The 16,042-nt window shown below is 49.7% G+C and overlaps 2 protein-coding genes across 35 annotated transcripts in view, besides 8 other annotated features; one reads left to right on the top strand and one right to left on the bottom strand.

Annotated features, from left to right (window-relative positions):
* Positions 1-6: part of an enhancer, noted in NCBI's record as "active region_6463", that runs on past the window's edge. NCBI's record gives its function as "activates an Ori minimal core promoter by ATAC-STARR-seq in GM12878 lymphoblastoid cells {active_cell/tissue: GM12878}" and the evidence as "EXISTENCE:reporter gene assay evidence [ECO:0000049][PMID:35858748]".
* Positions 1-126: part of an enhancer, noted in NCBI's record as "H3K4me1 hESC enhancer chr12:56334225-56334725 (GRCh37/hg19 assembly coordinates)", that runs on past the window's edge. NCBI's record gives its function as "activates a minimal SCP1, AML or CMV promoter by ChIP-STARR-seq in primed H9 embryonic stem cells {active_cell/tissue: H9 hESC(primed)}" and the evidence as "EXISTENCE:reporter gene assay evidence [ECO:0000049][PMID:30033119]".
* The window catches only part of DGKA (diacylglycerol kinase alpha), a 26,708-nt gene extending 13,457 nt beyond the window's left edge, over positions 1-13,251 (bottom strand). For 4 of the 33 annotated variants that reach the window (NR_147026.2, NM_201554.2, NM_001413602.1 and 1 more), the window contains exons 1-11: positions 8,444-8,504; positions 4,000-4,144; positions 3,477-3,550; positions 3,024-3,159; positions 2,515-2,589; positions 2,007-2,056; positions 1,578-1,652; positions 1,262-1,381; positions 1,038-1,152; positions 397-485; positions 134-253 (exon numbers count right to left, since the gene is read on the bottom strand). Coding sequence is in view for 28 of the 33 variants with exons in the window: in NM_201554.2 (NP_963848.1) it covers positions 134-253; positions 397-485; positions 1,038-1,152; positions 1,262-1,381; positions 1,578-1,652; positions 2,007-2,056; positions 2,515-2,589; positions 3,024-3,159; positions 3,477-3,550; positions 4,000-4,063 (918 nt within the window). In the remaining 5 variants the exon portion in view is untranslated. Of the gene's footprint in view, positions 1-133; positions 254-396; positions 486-1,037; positions 1,153-1,261; positions 1,382-1,577; positions 2,057-2,514; positions 2,596-3,009; positions 3,160-3,476; positions 3,551-3,999; positions 4,145-4,431; positions 4,560-4,608; positions 4,734-5,162; positions 5,263-7,657; positions 8,007-8,311; positions 8,505-9,070; positions 9,158-9,222; positions 9,406-12,232; positions 12,497-12,947 lie in introns of those variants that run through there. The other 29 variants (NM_001345.5, NM_001413603.1, XM_017018900.1 and 26 more) reach the window with 27 other exon arrangements.
* Positions 127-627: an enhancer, noted in NCBI's record as "H3K4me1 hESC enhancer chr12:56333724-56334224 (GRCh37/hg19 assembly coordinates)". NCBI's record gives its function as "activates a minimal SCP1, AML or CMV promoter by ChIP-STARR-seq in naive H9 embryonic stem cells {active_cell/tissue: H9 hESC(naive)}" and the evidence as "EXISTENCE:reporter gene assay evidence [ECO:0000049][PMID:30033119]".
* Positions 12,402-12,982: an enhancer, noted in NCBI's record as "NANOG-H3K27ac-H3K4me1 hESC enhancer chr12:56321369-56321949 (GRCh37/hg19 assembly coordinates)". NCBI's record gives its function as "activates a minimal SCP1, AML or CMV promoter by ChIP-STARR-seq in primed H9 embryonic stem cells {active_cell/tissue: H9 hESC(primed)}" and the evidence as "EXISTENCE:reporter gene assay evidence [ECO:0000049][PMID:30033119]".
* The window catches only part of PYM1 (PYM1 exon junction complex associated factor), a 26,482-nt gene continuing 23,112 nt past the window's right edge, over positions 12,673-16,042 (top strand). The window contains exon 1 of one of the 2 annotated variants that reach the window (NM_032345.3): positions 12,673-12,842. In NM_032345.3, the coding sequence (NP_115721.1) occupies positions 12,806-12,842 (37 nt within the window). In that variant the 5' untranslated portion in view covers positions 12,673-12,805. 2 annotated transcript variants of the gene reach the window in all.
* Positions 12,983-13,563: an enhancer, noted in NCBI's record as "NANOG-H3K27ac-H3K4me1 hESC enhancer chr12:56320788-56321368 (GRCh37/hg19 assembly coordinates)". NCBI's record gives its function as "activates a minimal SCP1, AML or CMV promoter by ChIP-STARR-seq in primed H9 embryonic stem cells {active_cell/tissue: H9 hESC(primed)}" and the evidence as "EXISTENCE:reporter gene assay evidence [ECO:0000049][PMID:30033119]".
* Positions 13,062-13,231: an enhancer, noted in NCBI's record as "active region_6462". NCBI's record gives its function as "activates an Ori minimal core promoter by ATAC-STARR-seq in GM12878 lymphoblastoid cells {active_cell/tissue: GM12878}" and the evidence as "EXISTENCE:reporter gene assay evidence [ECO:0000049][PMID:35858748]".
* Positions 13,272-13,491: an enhancer, noted in NCBI's record as "active region_6461". NCBI's record gives its function as "activates an Ori minimal core promoter by ATAC-STARR-seq in GM12878 lymphoblastoid cells {active_cell/tissue: GM12878}" and the evidence as "EXISTENCE:reporter gene assay evidence [ECO:0000049][PMID:35858748]".
* Positions 13,582-13,731: a silencer, noted in NCBI's record as "silent region_4539". NCBI's record gives its function as "represses an Ori minimal core promoter by ATAC-STARR-seq in GM12878 lymphoblastoid cells {active_cell/tissue: GM12878}" and the evidence as "EXISTENCE:reporter gene assay evidence [ECO:0000049][PMID:35858748]".

The following is a 16,042-nucleotide window of genomic DNA, read 5'->3' as shown; positions in this document are numbered from 1 at the left end:
TGGCAGTCTGGGCTGGAAAGAGCCCTTGGGAGCAGGGGCAACTGTGCCTGTAAAGGAGGTGTGGCCGGAGGCCCGTGGAGAAGGCAGCTCTGCGGGGTAAGACGCACCCAGAAGGGATGGCTCCCAAACTGACCTCTAGGTGGCACCATACACAATGCAGCCCGGTCAGACTGTGGTAGATCCGGATCTTTTTCTGACAGCGGTCGCAGCGCCCGGACTCACAGCCTCCTCGCACCCACACATGTGATTGGACCTTGGGGAGAAAGGCAGTTCCTTGTCTGGCAGGGTCTGAGCAGGACCTAGGGGAGGGAGGGGCTGAGGGCAGCAATGGGCCAAGGGCCAGGGCCAGGGCCAGGATGTAGGTGATGTTGGGGGTGGAGGCATGAGATCACTCACACCAATGTCCTTCCGAGACTTGGCATAGGTGCTGACTTCACAAGGCAGGGCTTTCATGGCACACTGGTCGTGAACAGTGTACTTACAGACTGAGGGAGAAGGAAGAAGTTGGGAGGCTTAGCTGAGCCTCTCCCCCTATTTCCTTCTTACCTGAGGGTGAGGCAGGATCAGATATGTGATCCCTTGCTTGAGGGTGTAGCAGAATAAAAGTTCGGGGTGAAGTGCCCACCTCCAAAACCCACGCCTTTTCCTTACTCTTCCTCCTAAAAGATCAGCTGCTACTGCATGCCTGCCCCACACCATCCATGTGCCAGGCAGGAACTGAGCTGGATAATGCTTGGGAGGCCCAGGTCTAACAGCAACAGTAATCATAATAGATATTTTTTATTGCATTTTATAGTATGTGCATGCACCATCTGAAGCACTTTTCTTGCACCAACTTTTTTAATGCTCACAATTACCTCATTTTCAGTTGAGGAAACTAAGGCTTAAAGAAGTGATGTGGCTTTCCCAAGGTCACATAACTAGTCAGTGGCAGAGCCCAGGATTCAAACCTAGGTCTTTTCTAAGTTTACAGCATCAAGCTCCCACAGATAGCTGGGCTGACCCTCTTCCCCTACCTCCCAGCTCCCATTACTCACGGTTACAGCTCAGTCCCTGTTTGCCAAGACCAATGCTTGACTCGCACAGATTGCAGTAGACTGGTCTGGGGAACCTCTTGGGCCTCCACATGTGCTGTCCGTCGTCCTTCAGAGTCTAGGAAGGCACAGTAGATGCTAGGGAGTGTCAAAGCCCTTACAGGGCCAATCCGGGCAAGCATAACCCAAGGCTGTCTTACTCATCCCCCAAAGTCTCTCCTACTCACCATCTCCAGACCCAGCAGCACTAGCAGTGGCACGGTGGTGGCCCCAGCCCGGACCCACTCAGCTTGAGAGACAGAGCCACTGCCATCATAGTCAATCTCTTTCATCATCTCCTGAAGAATCTGAGCACAGAGTGGAAAGGGACTTTCAGTATGAGTGGGTCTTCAGACCCAACACCTCTCCACTGCCTCTTAGGATATCCAGCCCAGCCATCCTAGCCAAGGGAACCAGGTTGCCTGTCAGAGATGAAGTAAGGCAGATGCAGGACTCACCAGGGAAGAAGGTACAAGAAGGGACATGAAGGAAGAGCTGCCTTACCGGCCTCAGCTCAGACACATCCCAATCCAGGTATTCAGCCACTCGCATCATCTGTAGGATAATTTTGTCCACTTCCTGGAGCAAAAAGGGCAAGAGCCACAGCCATATCCCCTTTACTACCACCATCCAAACTCTTTTCCAGAAATCAGTGTTCCTGGGTTCCACCCCAGATTCACACCTCTCATTCTCAGGTATGTCTGCCAAGTAAATAAATGTGTTTGTATGTTTGTAAGGCAGACCCAATTCATGTATCCAGCATTCTCTTTGAGGGGTCAAGAGCTTGGGACTTACTTTCAAATTTAGTCCTAGAGGACTCAACCTCTCCCCCCATCCTCTTCTGTTTCTTAAGACCCTGGAAGAGTTGGGGCAGGAGGGTGCAGACAAATTAACACATATTCCCTTGCCCAGCATACAGGGTCCCCAACTCACTGAGCTGTCCAGGATCCCATTTCTGTCCGTGTCGTACAGCTTGAAGGTGACTGTGGGGTGTTTTAGGGGGGCCAGGGTCAGTTTGTGAGAGATACCCAAAGAATTCATACCAGAATATGGGGGAAACAAAGAGACAGGGAGAGAGCTTTTGGGTGAGAAGCCTAGAGCCTGGGATGGGACTGAGAGAGAGACAAAAAGGAAAGGAAAACAGGCATGGACTCTACCCTCAGTGAATGTGTCAGGGGAGACAATACATAATCCATATCCCAAGGACATCCTAGGCCGCCTACATGGGAATGCACAAGACATGGGTACTGGGGTGACTATGGTGAAGGGTATTAGGTATAAATAGTCTGGGAGAACACAGGAAATGGGCTCATTCTCTGGCCCCACCTTTGTCTAGACCTGTCAGCCTTTAGGAATCCTGAAGGAATAAGGGAAAGGAGGATGGGAAACACCTCTCTCTCCCTTCACTGCCCTGCCACCTCACTTCAGAAGGGCAACTCACATTCTAACTTGTCTTCTGGCCGACCACCCTCCAGAAGGGAAAAGTAGCAGGAAACATCATTGAGACACACCACATCTGGTTACAAAAAAGCAGATCAGAAGTCAGGGCTCCCTCCACTTTGGCTCATGTTTTATCCTTTGTTTGTCCCACCTCTCCCTTTTTTTAAAAAAAAGATTTACTGATTTTTTTGAGAGACAGGGTCTTGCTCTGTCACTGAGGCTGGAGTGCAGTGGCATGATTACTGCTCACTGCACCTTGAACTCCTGGCCTCAAGCAATCCTCCCACCTCAGCTTCCCAAAGTGCTGGGACTACAGGTGTGAGCCACTGCCCTCGACTTACCTTTCCCCTTTACCTTTCCTCCCTTTAGCTCCTAGACCAGCCTGACTATTCTCCACCAATTTCCCCCAACCTGCACAACGTGTGACTCAAGTTAATTCTCAACCCCAAATCCATACTAGTTTGATTTTTCTGCCAGAGGCTTAGCCCAGTCCTACCTGCTTGACCATACCTTTTGTCACATTTGTCTCATTTAAGCAGTGACCAGTCTCAAAGGATTGAAACAGTGCCAGGCTTAGGTGTCTGGGAACATTATCCACTTCGAGATAGATTTTCAGGAATTGCTGGAATCCCTCGTACCCAATGGCCTATAATGAGAGTGAGCATTATCCTGGGGAGTCTGCAAGGTCAGAGCTGGGGCTGAAGAATTGGGAGTAGCGGGGACAGGGATAATAAATGCAGAGCTGAGAAGCATCTGAGGCAGGAGTATGGTTTCTTTGATTAAGTCCTGAGTTAATAGAATCCCTTGTTTTATCCTAAAGCAATAGTCAGAGTGACAATGGACACTAGGGTATCTCTAGAGGGGATAGTGAGGGGCAGGCCCAGAATAATTCCTGGAAGTTGGGGATCAAAAACAAAGATGGGAAGAGTTGATCAAGAAGAAGATTTCCCAGCTGCCACTCACATCTCCTTGGACATATTTAGCCATCTCGCCATCCTCGAAGAGCTTTAGGACATCACTGACCTTTTTGGTGGAGTCTAGGGTGTAGAGAGAGTAAGAGAACAGCATTATTAGTCCAGCTGAGTTCTCTTGCCAGAGAAATCCAGCAGGAAAAAAGATTCAAATGAGATGAAGAAATTCCAAGAAGAAACACAGAAATACAGAGGGAAAAATATTTCAGATCCTCCAAAACAGTACCACTCTTTACTCCTCTTCTCTGAGAGCTGGAGCAAGCAGTCCAGGTATAGCGAAGGTGGGTAGAGAGCCGAGACCTTGCACAATGCAGCCCAGTTAGACTGTGGTAGATCCGGATCTTTTTCTGACATCTCCCCATCTCCCACTCCTCCCATTTCCAGTCATGGGCACATCTGAGCAGCACACTGCTCAAAGCCACTGAGGAAGCTGGGGGGCAGGGGGTGTAATGAGGAGGAGGAGGGATTCTCTGGGGCAGGGTCTCCAGAACTGAAGGCCTGACAGGAAGACTCACATTCCATGTATTTTTGCAGCTGGGCAAAATCACTGGGGCTTATTAGGCCCCTCTCCTTGGCCATCTGTCTATTTTTCTCAAGGATGGCCAGAAAGGCAGCTTCGTAGTAGTACTTCCGTTGCTTGGACCTCTTCAGAGGGTAGGCCTGGGGAAAGGTGACAGAGCGTACAGTGGGAAGAGCCAGCTGTCTGGGTGTCTTTTCTTCTGTCTGTTCCATTCTGTCTCTACTCCCACTATTATTTTTTGTTCTTTCCTTCTCTCCTAGTCCCTCCCTAAACATCTTCCTTTCCCTGTGTCCCTCTTCCCTATGCCTCTACCTTCCCTGACAGTGTCTGTCCTCTGTCTCTGTTTCTCTGACTCATCTCTGTCTCTCCATTTCTGGATCCTTCTCCCTCTCCCCCAACCTATCTTGATTCATCTGACCACCCTCACCTTCCCACCCGCACCCGGCTTTCTCAGTCTATATATGTTTCTGTGGGTGTGTCCCTTGTCTGTTTCTGCGCTTTCTTCCACCATCGTCAATCTCTGCAGACTCTCCCCATCCTGAGCTCTCTCCCATCTCGGGTCTTCGGCAGTTCCGGCAGTTCCGGCCCTCTGAGTGACTCTTACTGCGTTAGCGCGTCTTCCTGGCCATGACCCCATTTTGTTCCGCCTCTGGCCAGGGACCCCAGCTCCGCTCAGCCACCCACTCCCCGAGCCACCCACGCCACGCAACGACCTCTAGCGCTTCTGACGCGCGACACAGAACCAGCTCTGGCAAGGTCCCTAGCCCCGGCCCCGCCTGGACTGCGTTCCGCGGAGCTCCACTAGGGAAGGGTGGGGAACTAGGCGCGGGGTAGGGAAGAGGCAGGGGAAGAGACTCTGGGTACCCACAGAGTCTCTTCCTCAGAAGAGGGTTCTGGGATACTGACATCCTAGAGAAAGGACTCTACCCATCTGGCACTTTTCAATGACTATAATCCAACTTCTGCTGCCAACAGATCTAGTGTTTCCCAGTCCTGGGACGATGGAGCCGAGTGCTAGTGTCTCGGCTCCTGGGAACTTCCTTCCACTCCGCTAGGTCAGCAGTGCTTAGGGAGCCCCAGGTTTTGGCTACTGGATCCAGGGACCAAGGTGCAGTGGGCGACTTTCCTTGATTCAGTAATGATAATAACATATCTTACGTTAATATAATACAGCACGGTTTTGGAACAGAACTAGATCAGTCATATCTGGGTCCCATTCTTAGCTCTGATACCACTGTGTGACTTGGGGAAGTTATATCTGCAAAATGGGGAGAATGAGAACCATTTTTCACAGTTGTGTGGCTTACGTAAAACAATATATGAAAAGTCACTCATACAATGCCTGACATTTAGGAGGCCTACAAGAAATGCTAGTTATTATTGTACTAACAATTAGAATCAAATCATCAGACATAGGAAATTATTGGCATAACCATTCTACAGATGAAGAAACTGGAGCTCAGAGAAGCTTGGATTTCCTAAGGCAGTTGATAGATGGAAAATCCAAGGCTCCAGCCCAAGGCCATGTGGTAGTGCCTCTGTTTGTCCCTCTGCCCTCCTCTTGTTCCACTCTCTCCTCACACCCCGCCATCTGGTCTCACTGTGCTCCTTTCTGTTCCTCAGGCATGCCAAGCTCTCCCCTGCTCAAAGCAATGAGTCTTACTGTTCTGTCTGCCTGGGATACCCTTCCCAGTATGTAGTGGGTGCTGAATATTGGTTGTACACATGATTGTGTAAAGCTGGGGATTCATAATTTGGGGCTATTAATCCAAATATGGTTACATGGGAATAGGATGCCAGAGTGTCCACCTGACAGTCAGAGGAAAGGAGATAATTTGTAGTACATAGAGTAGGTGCTAAATAAATATTTGTTAAATAAATGAATGATGCTGAAAAGCACTTATTGACTACCCCATCAAACACCCTGATCTCCACCCACTCATTTAGGGCTTGTTGGGTAAGGGAAGCAGTTTGGGTGTTCAAGAACAGCCTAGCCCTTTTCCTTTCTGATGATGCAAGAACTTTCTCTGCAGCCTCTTCCCTTGGGACATCTCTGCTGCCTACTTTTATGCAGCACACCATTCCTATTCCAGCAGCTCTCTGGGAACACTCAGAAGAGGGTTCTGGGATACTGACATCCTAGAGAAAGGACTCTACCCATCTGGCACTTTTCAATGACCATAGTCCAACTTCTGCTGCCAACAGACCTAATGAATACTAATAGTCTTATGGCTAATGGGGCCTCTATAGCTTAATTAGCCTCTCTGATTACCCCTGGGGATTCTAAGATGACTCCAAAGTTCTAGGAAATGGAATCTGAGGGAGAAAGTGACAAGGAGGGAGCAAACAAGTTACAATGCAAAGGAGAGAGGACAGGCTTCTTCTCTGCCTCTCTTTTTACAATGATCTAACTCTTTCTTGCTCCTTCCTAGCTCCCCAGGTCTTAAACCTGGAGAAGTAGTATACAGTAGAAGTTAAGAGAATGGACTTGCAAATTGGACAGGCAAGGATCAGAATCCTAGCTCTTTAAAAGGTCATTTCATCTCCCTGAGCCTCAGTTTTCTCATCAGTAAAGTGGGCACCTACAGAAATCAGTCGCAATGTGGGCATTAAATAAGATGATATATGCAATGTACTTAGCAAACAGCATGGCACAGAATAAGAACTCAATGAACATCAGCTATTATCATTATTACACAAGGGTAGTACCTAGAGAAACATTTCTGGAGATTAGGAAAAATGATGTCTTTGAACCAGGAAGGCATAAATTTCAGGGACTGCTAGCATCAGTGAAGCCCAGTTGTACGTCTTACCCCTTGTTATTAATATATCTGTCAGGTGCAAACATGTAGTATCAGGATTCTGAACTTTGCCTCTGGGAGGATGACGAGGTGGCTAGAGCTAGACTCTCAGGGTTCAAGGACACCCCTGGGCTGGAATCTTGGAAACGAGTGCTCCTGGGATCTTTTCAGTGGTTTTCTTGACTTCTCTGACTGAAAGTTTAGCTATCCCTGGAGCTGAAGGGCAGCAAACTGTGGGATCCTGGGGACTTGAAGACCTAGAACAAGTCCATTTTTTTTCCTCCAGGTCCATCCCAACCCTGAGGCTATAACCTGGGCTAGTCTAGGCGAAGGCCAGGGCTGGGAGGGTGGGGTCTGCTGCCAGCCTGCCAGCTATTTGTGACTCACCCTTCCCTTCCCTCCTCTGGTTTCCCTGCCCGCCCCTACCCAATTGGGGCGAGAAAGGAAGAAGTTGACTTGGAGGCAGAGAATCTTAGAACATCCACAGAGCTGGGAGTCACCAACCCTCGTATTTTACAGAGGAGGAAATTGAGGCATAGAGAGAGAATTACTCTCTTAAGGGCACAGTCAGACTCTAGACACCCATCCTTAGTACATTCCACTAAATCTTAGAGCTCATGGCTCTCTGGATCTAATTTTAAACATCAAATACTAAAATTTTAACCAAGAGATAAATATTGTTTCCAAAGCCTGTGTTAGTATTTAAAGTTTCCTTTTTTCACTTAAGCGTTCATTGCTCACATTCCAAGTCCTTTAAGTCGACCATTACTCAGGAAATAGCTATGTCTCCAGAATATTGAGGCTGCCCCAGAGGGGCAGGAGCCCCGAATTTGAGGGCCCAGGCCTGATTACCTGGACTTCTGAATTCCTTAATCACATCATAGACTGTATCCTCCTCCTCTCCCTGACCGTTGCTGCTAGTAGGTAGCCCTCAAGAGGGAATCATTTGCTTGAAGCCTCAAAACTTATTAAGCCTCCACAAACACTGAAGACTGCAGTGCTACACCTGGCTGAGGGGGTTGTGTGTGTGTGTGTGTGTGTGTGTGTGTGTGCGTGTGTGTGTGTGTGTAGAGGGTGTCATTGCGTAGTATAGGAGGAAGTTACGATACTGGCATGGTTGGGGGATGTGGGCTTGTCTGTGCTGAGGCTGAAGAGATGCCCAGTAATATTTGCCATTCTTCCTCAGGAAGGCTCATTTCTCCTATCAAGGTGAAAAGTGAGATTCAGACTCAGGTATTTTCAGAAACTTCCCAGTGACAGGTGGGGAGAGGATGGGGTGGGAAGTTGGGGACCTGGAGGCCAAACAAGAACCCTTCTCCACCCGTGCGGCACTGTGGAGGTTCCGAAGAGGACTTCCCTCCGAGTCGGGTCCCAGGAACCGGGCTTCACCATCCCTCCGAATGAGCGGGAGGGATGGAGGGGAAGGTCTGGGAAACGTTACCCACCGGGTTCGGGCCCAGCCCTCCCGCTGCACCCCCGCGTCCCAGCGCAGACCCTTCTCGATACCCGCTCCAGCTGTCACGCTTCCTCCTTCCCGACCCAGCAGCACGAACGCAGCCCGTGGGTCCTCGGCTTCCCTACCCCTGTCCTTTTCCGATGGGGGAGGGTGGGGCGCTGGGGGGCTCGCGGGGTCTCTACCTTGCTTGAGAGGGCTCGCGGTCGCAGCTGAAGCGCCGGCGCTGGAGCTGGAGCCCGAGCTGGGCTGGAGGGGACGGGCCAGGCAGACGCGGCCGCAGCGGGGCCGCCCCGTTCCTGACGACATAGCTGCCCGCCCCCCACCCCAGCCTGCCCGCCGCGCCCGCGCCCGGCGCCCCCGACTCTGGGAACTTCGAAGTTGGAGAGGCCCGTTTCTAGGTTTCCAGTTCACCATAACCTGCTCCACCCTCCCTCGAATATGTCCGGGGCTTTGGACACATTTTCTCCATTTGCTGCGCTCCTCATCTTCTTCCCGCGCCGGCGGCAGCTCTGCTTCTATTTTCCCTTCTTTCTAATCACTCACAGCCTCTCCCTTCATCCCAAACCTGGGAGACCAAGATACCGGGCGGGCCGCTAACAGAACAGCTCGGCAGTTGGGCACCCAACCAACGTCTCATTCTCTCCTGATTGCTGCCATCCTGAACTTCCCTAACCAACTCCCTTCCATCCACCACTGACTTCACACTCAGGAGATCCCACGGGGGCAAGCCCAGAGTCCCAAACTCCACAACCTGACCAAACACCTCCCTCCCGCCCCGGGCTCTACCCTGCTTGAGACAATCTCCCCACCTTCTTCACGTTCCTCTTTCCTTTTAGACCTATTTTCCCCAGTCTAAGGACACCTCCTGTCAAGACTCATGTTCTCTCCTTAATTCTAGGGTGGAGTTTTGCACTTTGGTCTATGTCCACCCTTTCTCCACGCCCTCATCCTCCCACTTTACCTGCTGGTCTTGGCAGGTGGCACAGAAGGCCCTGGCCAAAAGTAGGGAGTGAAAGGTCCTTTCAGCTTCCCCTGCCTGGAGTCTCTTCTAGAGTCATTAAGGCTCTTGGGGTCGCATGGATGGTGGTGAAGGTGGTACAGCAAGGGAGAGAGATGGAGGCCTAGGGACTCACTGGCAGGAACTGGAGACCCAGGCATCCTGCTCACTGGCCCCGCCCCAACCCCTGTCTAACTCCCTCCTACCCTTCATTGAAAATGGGGCAGAGTAACAAAGCCTTAGGTTCCTGGAATCGTCCTTCTTACACCTGGGGGTGGGAAGAAGGGGGAGGGGAGACCTCTGACTAGAAGGGTATATGCATGTGTGGGTATTGTGTATGCATACATACACACACATAATATATACATACTTTTGGTGGGGGTTGGAAAGGGAATGAATACATGAGGCCCTCTAGTGGAAACAGGGATATCTAAGCAGTTCTTGATTGTTTCAAGACAGGCTTGTTGGAACAGACTCCTCCACATTTGCCAGAAATATAGCTGCTGAGTAATAGGGTTTGGGAGTATTGTTGTATCCAAACTGGAGATTTCGGGCATAGGTTGAAGAGGGGTCTGTCTCTCTGCTCCTGTGCCCCTCCAAGTCTCACCCTCTCACCCCCAATCATAAAAAGACAAGGGCCAAAGGCCGGGCGCGGTGGCTCACACCTGTAATCCCAGCACTTTGGCAGGCTGAGGCAGGCGGATCACGAGATCAGGAGATTGAGACCATCCTGGCTAACACGGTGAAAACCTGTCTCTACTAAAAATACAAAAAATTAGCCGGGCGTGGTGGCACATGCCTGTAGTCCCAGTTACTCGCGAGGCTGAGGCAGGAGAATCGCTTGAACCTGGGAGGCAGAGGTTGCAGTGAGCCGAGATCATGCCACTGCACTCCAGCCTGGGTGACACGAGCAAAACTCTGTCTAAAAAAAAAAAAAAAAAAAAAAAAAAACAAGGCCCTTGACACTCCCCATCCTGTCTTTACAGTATTTTCTTCACTGTTAGCAAAGCTTCATCTCTCCTTCCTCTATGACCTCCTTAGTCATAGTAAACAAACTCTTCTGAAGGCCTTTTATACACTAAGTCCTGTACTTAGTTCTGCAATACAAGCAAAAACATAGTCCAGTTTAGGGACTATATCAATGAGTGGTGCAATGTGTGTAAAGCCTCTCTGCTCTGAGCTACTTTAAACAAACATACAATGTAAGAATAGGTCCCCTAACACCTCTGCCTATCAGTTTTCTGTCCCTGGATCTTTCATTTAGAAATCTTGGAACGATATTAATCTCTAAGGCACTCAGCTTTCCTTGCAAAGAATGCTCAAAGTAATGCCACCCTATGTATTACCTGTGTTTCTCACTCTATCGTCTTTAGATATGTCCCTAAATAAAGTTGAAGACACTCCTTTTAAGATAGTTTTTGGTACTTCAAAGTGGGGTGTAATGTTATCTCTCGAATAAGGAATAAGGTGGAATCAGTCTTACTCTAGACTTCTTTGTGTCTTCTTTAGGATCTGTGCTCCATCATACCCCAAGTCAGTTACTGGGGGGTGTGGGTGGGGGAAGAAAAGCCAAGAAACATCTAAGAAGGAGGCGTTTAATGCCTACGGTTCCAGGTGCTCATTTCTTTAATCAACCACATCATAAAAATCAGAAAGAAAGAAACCGCAATGAACAAAGGGAAAGGAAAAAACAACAGCCTGTTCTCCCCGGCCTTTTTTGCCCTGTTCCTCCTCAGGGTGGGGGGCCACATCCGGGGCCCCGGGTTGGGTCCCAGGCAGGTCTACTAAGCAGACAATTGAGTTTCACTTCCTGTCAACCCTAGTGCTGAGGCAGGATGTCTGGGGGTGGGAAGGGGGCCTAGGGTTGGTAGTGAACAGGGGCGACTTTAGGTTTCCCTCCTGCACAAAGGTCTATTGAGCAGCCTCTGAAAGCTGCAGAGACCACTCCTGAGGTAGTTCAGTCAAGACCAACGTATCCCATTAGTTCTTAGAGGCTTCATCCCACACTCTCACGTCTAATCATAACAAGGTTAAGGACAAGATGTTAGACCCTGCAGGGCTGAAGTACAATCGGTGAAAAGAGAGCAAGGGTTTAAGACCACAGTGTCACAACACTTGCAATAACAGTGTATCGTATGCAAATACTTTTTATTTATTTATTTTGAGACTGAGTCTTGCTCTATAATACAAGCTGGAGTGCAGTGGCACGATCTTGGCTCACTGCAACCTCCACCTCCCAGGTTCATTCCTCAGCCTCCCGAGTAGCTGGGATTACAGGCACTCGCCACCACACCCGGCTAATTTTTGTATTTTTAGTAGAGATGGGATTTCACCATGTTGGCCATGGCTGGTCTCGAACTCCTGACCTCAAGTGATCTGCCCACCTGGGCCTCCCAAAGTGCTGGGATTACAGGCATGAGACACCGCACCCGGCCTGGAAATACTTTTTAAATGAGCCCCACCCCCAGACATTCTGAATTGGCCTCTAGTGGAAGTCACAGACATGGAGGATGGGAAGGAAGGCAAGCTGCGGCCCCCAGAAAACTTCTGAGGCCTAATTTGTCTTATAAAGGTCCTAGTCAGCCATTGCTCAGTTTTTTAGTTTTTTTTTTTTTTTTTTTTTTTTTTTTTTGAGACGGGGTCCCACTCTGTCGTCCAAGCTGGAGTGCAGTGGAGCGATCTTGGCTCACTGCAACCTCCGCCTCCCAGATTCAAGAAATTCTCTGCCTCAGCCTCCCGAGTAGCTGAGATTACAGGCACCCGCCACCACGCCCGGCTAATTTTTTTGTATTTTTAGTAGAGACGGGGTTTCGCCATCTTGGCCAGGTTGGTCTTGAACTCCGGACCTCGTGATCCACCCGCCTTGGCCTCCCAAAGTGCTGGGATTACAGGCGTGAGCAACCGCGCCTGGGTTTTGTTTTGTTTTTTAAATGGGACATGCTGCCTAGTGTTGGAGGTAGTCACCAATACTTACCTCCTGCCTCCTCCCTGGTTCCAGGGGTACTGCTGGACATTAAACTAAGCCAAAGTGGGGATATAAGCAGGAAGGTAAAAGGGTTGATAAGGAAAAAGCTATATGAGGGTGGAGGAGGGCAGAGTTGACACCTGAGGAGAGGAACCTGCAGCCGGGCTCCTCTCAGGCTGTAGGGGAAACAAGTTTAACAGGACTTAGCCCTGAAGGAACAACAGTTGCTGAAATGGGCGGCGGAGGGAGACCATATGGGTTCGTCTGCAGAATAGGGAGGTACGGCGCAGGGCAGGACTACAAATGGAGTGACACTACGGGACCGGATTATTGGCGAGTTGCCCCGCTTTAGATCCTCAGCGGTTGGACGAGTTTAATTAGAATACTAAGTAGGTCCGCCCAGAAGCTTTCACCCTGCCCTCTGACCCTAGGGCCCAGCCCGAGGAGGCACTCAGGGTTAGGAGGTCTGGGCGAGAAGCAACTAGGGCCCTCATCACTTCGCCGCCGAATCCCCGGCGCCGCCCAGCGGGGCAGAGCCAGGCCAGGGCCGCCCGCCCAACCTGGTCCGCTGCCTCTTCGGCCATGGAAGCTGCCGGCAGCCCTGCGGCTACGGAGACAGGTGACCGACCCGCGGCGCCCTCCGCCTTGCACGCCCCTCCCGCGGGTCTCTGGTGGTTGAGTGGGTTGGCCGACAGCAATCGGCACACGAATTCGACCTCCCCACCTTCTTAGGGTTAGATAGGGTCTCCAACCGTCCCTAGAAACACTTGTGCGCCCCAGTGCGTTCCTGGAGTTTGTCTGCTCCACGTCACCAAGCCGCTCTGAGATCTGGGTGCAGGCCAGAGCCTGGATATTCTTCCTTTCTTCATTTATAAGGCCCCCTTTTTGGGTGCAGGTGGGCCTTGCGCCCTTTTCCCTCGCAGGTCCTGGACGTACGAGGAGTTCCTGGGGATGAGAGGGACTGTGCCTCGGAACTTCTCTTGGCTCCCTGAGGACTGTTTTACAGGCAGCAAGCGCTCAGTAATGGTATCGGTGGCAGTAAAAAGCCCACGGCTTTATTTTATTAACTATTTCAGCTTCTCCACTCTTCCTCCTCCTCCACCTCCGCCCATGAAATGGTGCACTCTCCCTTTAAGACTAAGATGGTGGCTTGCTACGATCGGGACTCCACTTCCGGTGGGGAGGGGGGCGGGACCCCAGCCCGCTCACGCCGGAAGTGGTTTGCGTTTTCAAGATGGCGACTCCCTATGTTACTGACGAGACCGGCGGTGAGTGCGGGAGGCGCGGAGCCGCTTCTCTCCGGGCTCTCGGGGCAGGGGTTCGGACTTGGAAAGGGGTCTGTGCCCCGCCCATCCCGGGGCCCCTCCTTTGCCCCGCCCCCCGGACCGCCTTCCCCATTCATTCTCTCCTACGGGGTGTCTCCTGCGCCCCCTTCTGGTCTCGTGTTTGGGGTCTCTGCTTCCGGTCACCCAAACCCTGGGGTCCTTCAGTGCTGGTCCCTGCTTCAGGACCCTCACGGGCCCTTAGCTTTTCTCCAGCAGTTGGACCACTCATATCTCTTTTAGGTTCTTCAGGCTTGGGGGCTTCTACACTCTCATTTCCCTCCAGTTCCTGCCCTCCTTCTTTTCCCCTCCCCCATCTCAGCTATACTTGGTTTCTGCCCTACCCCAGTCCCGTTTTCATTATTTTTCTCGAAGCTTTATTTGCTGAAGACCTCCTCGTTTCTACATAGTACCTTTTCCTCTCCCGTATCTTCATTTGTTGGGTCACTGAGGTTTAGAGGTGTGAAGGGAAGAGGACCCTAATACAACTTTCAGCTTGAGTTTTCTCCCTGATGGAGCCACCCTTCGCTACCTTCTCCCGTGATGGTGATAGAAATTGAGGGGTCTAAGGTGGGAAAAGGCAAACAGGAAAGTATCTAGTGGCTTTTCTCCGAAGCCCTTTGACAAGTGAATAAAACCCACTATTCCTTCTGGCTAGAGAAGAATTTGCAGCCTGGCTGGCCGAGATGCTGAAGTGTCTGCTGTGTATGTAAGGTGTATGTGTTGGAAACGGAGAATCACAGCTTTTATCATGGTTTTGTCCCTTCCTAATGGCCTCATCTTTAGGAAAATATGCATAGTAGTAATAGCTACTCAATGATGATCAAATAATATATGTAAAAGCAATTTATAAAATACTGTGCAAGTGCAAAGTGTTTCTGTTTTTGTAGCCCTCATATGTGTAGTCTGTAGTCTGTAGAAGCAACAGTGTGCCTGTGCCTTGGTACACACGGTGTTTTAAAATGTGCCATTTTGCTTCTTGCTCTGCTGCTTTCCATGTTCCTTACACCTCAGCCCACCTATTTTATGGTATCTGATGACAACCCAGGTTGCTGCTACTTCTCCCCAACCTCACAATTTAAAGTGGTACTACCTCTTTCCTTCTGTTCTCTACCCAGTAGCTCCTTCATGAATTACCAACTTTTAATGTGTGTTTTGAAAATACTACTTATCCAGTATACTTCTCTTTACTCTTAATCATTTTCTTTACCCTGACTCCGTGAAAATCCAGGTATCACATCTTACCTTACCTTGTCACTAAAAGCTGTTTTCTGTTTTCCGTGACTATGTGGAAGAGAAAAAGGAATAAACTGCTTTTTTGTTTTCCTTTACTATGTCCAGATCATTGATCTACCACTGTCACTCTAATCCTCATGGAAGGTATTGCCATGCAATTATAGCAGTTTCTGTAAAACTTTAGTGTCATCATTTACTGCCCACAGGGACCCAGACCTATTGCATCATATTTTTTTCTCTCCTTTTTTTCTTGCTATCATTTTCAGTGTCTCCAGCACCATTGGAATATTCTGATTTCATAGTTCCTCAGCATGAGACGGTCGACTTTCCTTTGTATTTTCAAACCAGTTGCACATCAGAATCACTACAACCTGGATCTCATCTAGGACACCGCTTTTTCTTCAGCTGCTCCCCATCACTTTAGCCTCCTTACCAGTCACCTATTTCACTATCTTAAACCCACAGGATCAGCTTTTTGTCCTCAAGTTCTCTGGTTCTTGACCTTCCCATTTCATTGAATCTGTCAGTACCTTATGGCCTTTGGTGCTGCCCAGCTAGACCTCTGTGACCAGCCACTTTGATAATATCCTCTTGCTTTCTTTATTCATTTTGATTTTCTATACTAAGCAGGCACTTCTGTTGTCTCTAATGATGGGTATGATTAGAGATGTTTTCTTGGCTTCCGCTTCTAGGCCACAGCATGTTGCTAGAGAAAAAGTACAGAGCTATCAGATTCAATATAACTTAACTTCTGCCAAGATCATGGCTTCTAATTATTTTTTTCTTTTTAAAAAAATTTTTTGCTGGGCATGGCGGCTCACGCCTATAATCCCAGCACTTTGGGAGGCCGAGGTGGGTGGATCAACTGAGGTCAGGGGTTCAAGACCAGCCTGACCAATATGGTGAAACCCCGTCTCTACTAAAACTACTAAAATTAGCTGAGTGTGGTGGCATGGTGGCGTGGGCCTGTCATCTCAGCTACTCGGGAGGTTGAGACAGGAGAATCGCTTGAACCCAGGAGGCAGAGGTTGCAGTGAGCTGAGTTCGCACCACTGCACTCCAGCCTGGGCGACAGAGCGAGACTCTGTCTCAAAAATAAATAATAAATAAATATTTAAATTTATTTTTTATGTTCTTCCATAGCTGTTTCCCCAACCTTTTCCAGATCTGTGTGACCATCCCTTTTAATTCTCCTTCTTTTGGCAGAAGACTTCATTTTTATTTCACTGAAAACTCAAGGCCTATCATTTTTGTTTCCTTT

Source organism: Homo sapiens, chromosome 12, assembly GCF_000001405.40.
Source record: "Homo sapiens chromosome 12, GRCh38.p14 Primary Assembly".
Lineage (NCBI taxonomy): Eukaryota > Metazoa > Chordata > Mammalia > Primates > Hominidae > Homo > Homo sapiens.
Note: the sequence above shows the minus strand (reverse complement) of the source record. Positions and strands in the feature narration are given on the sequence as shown.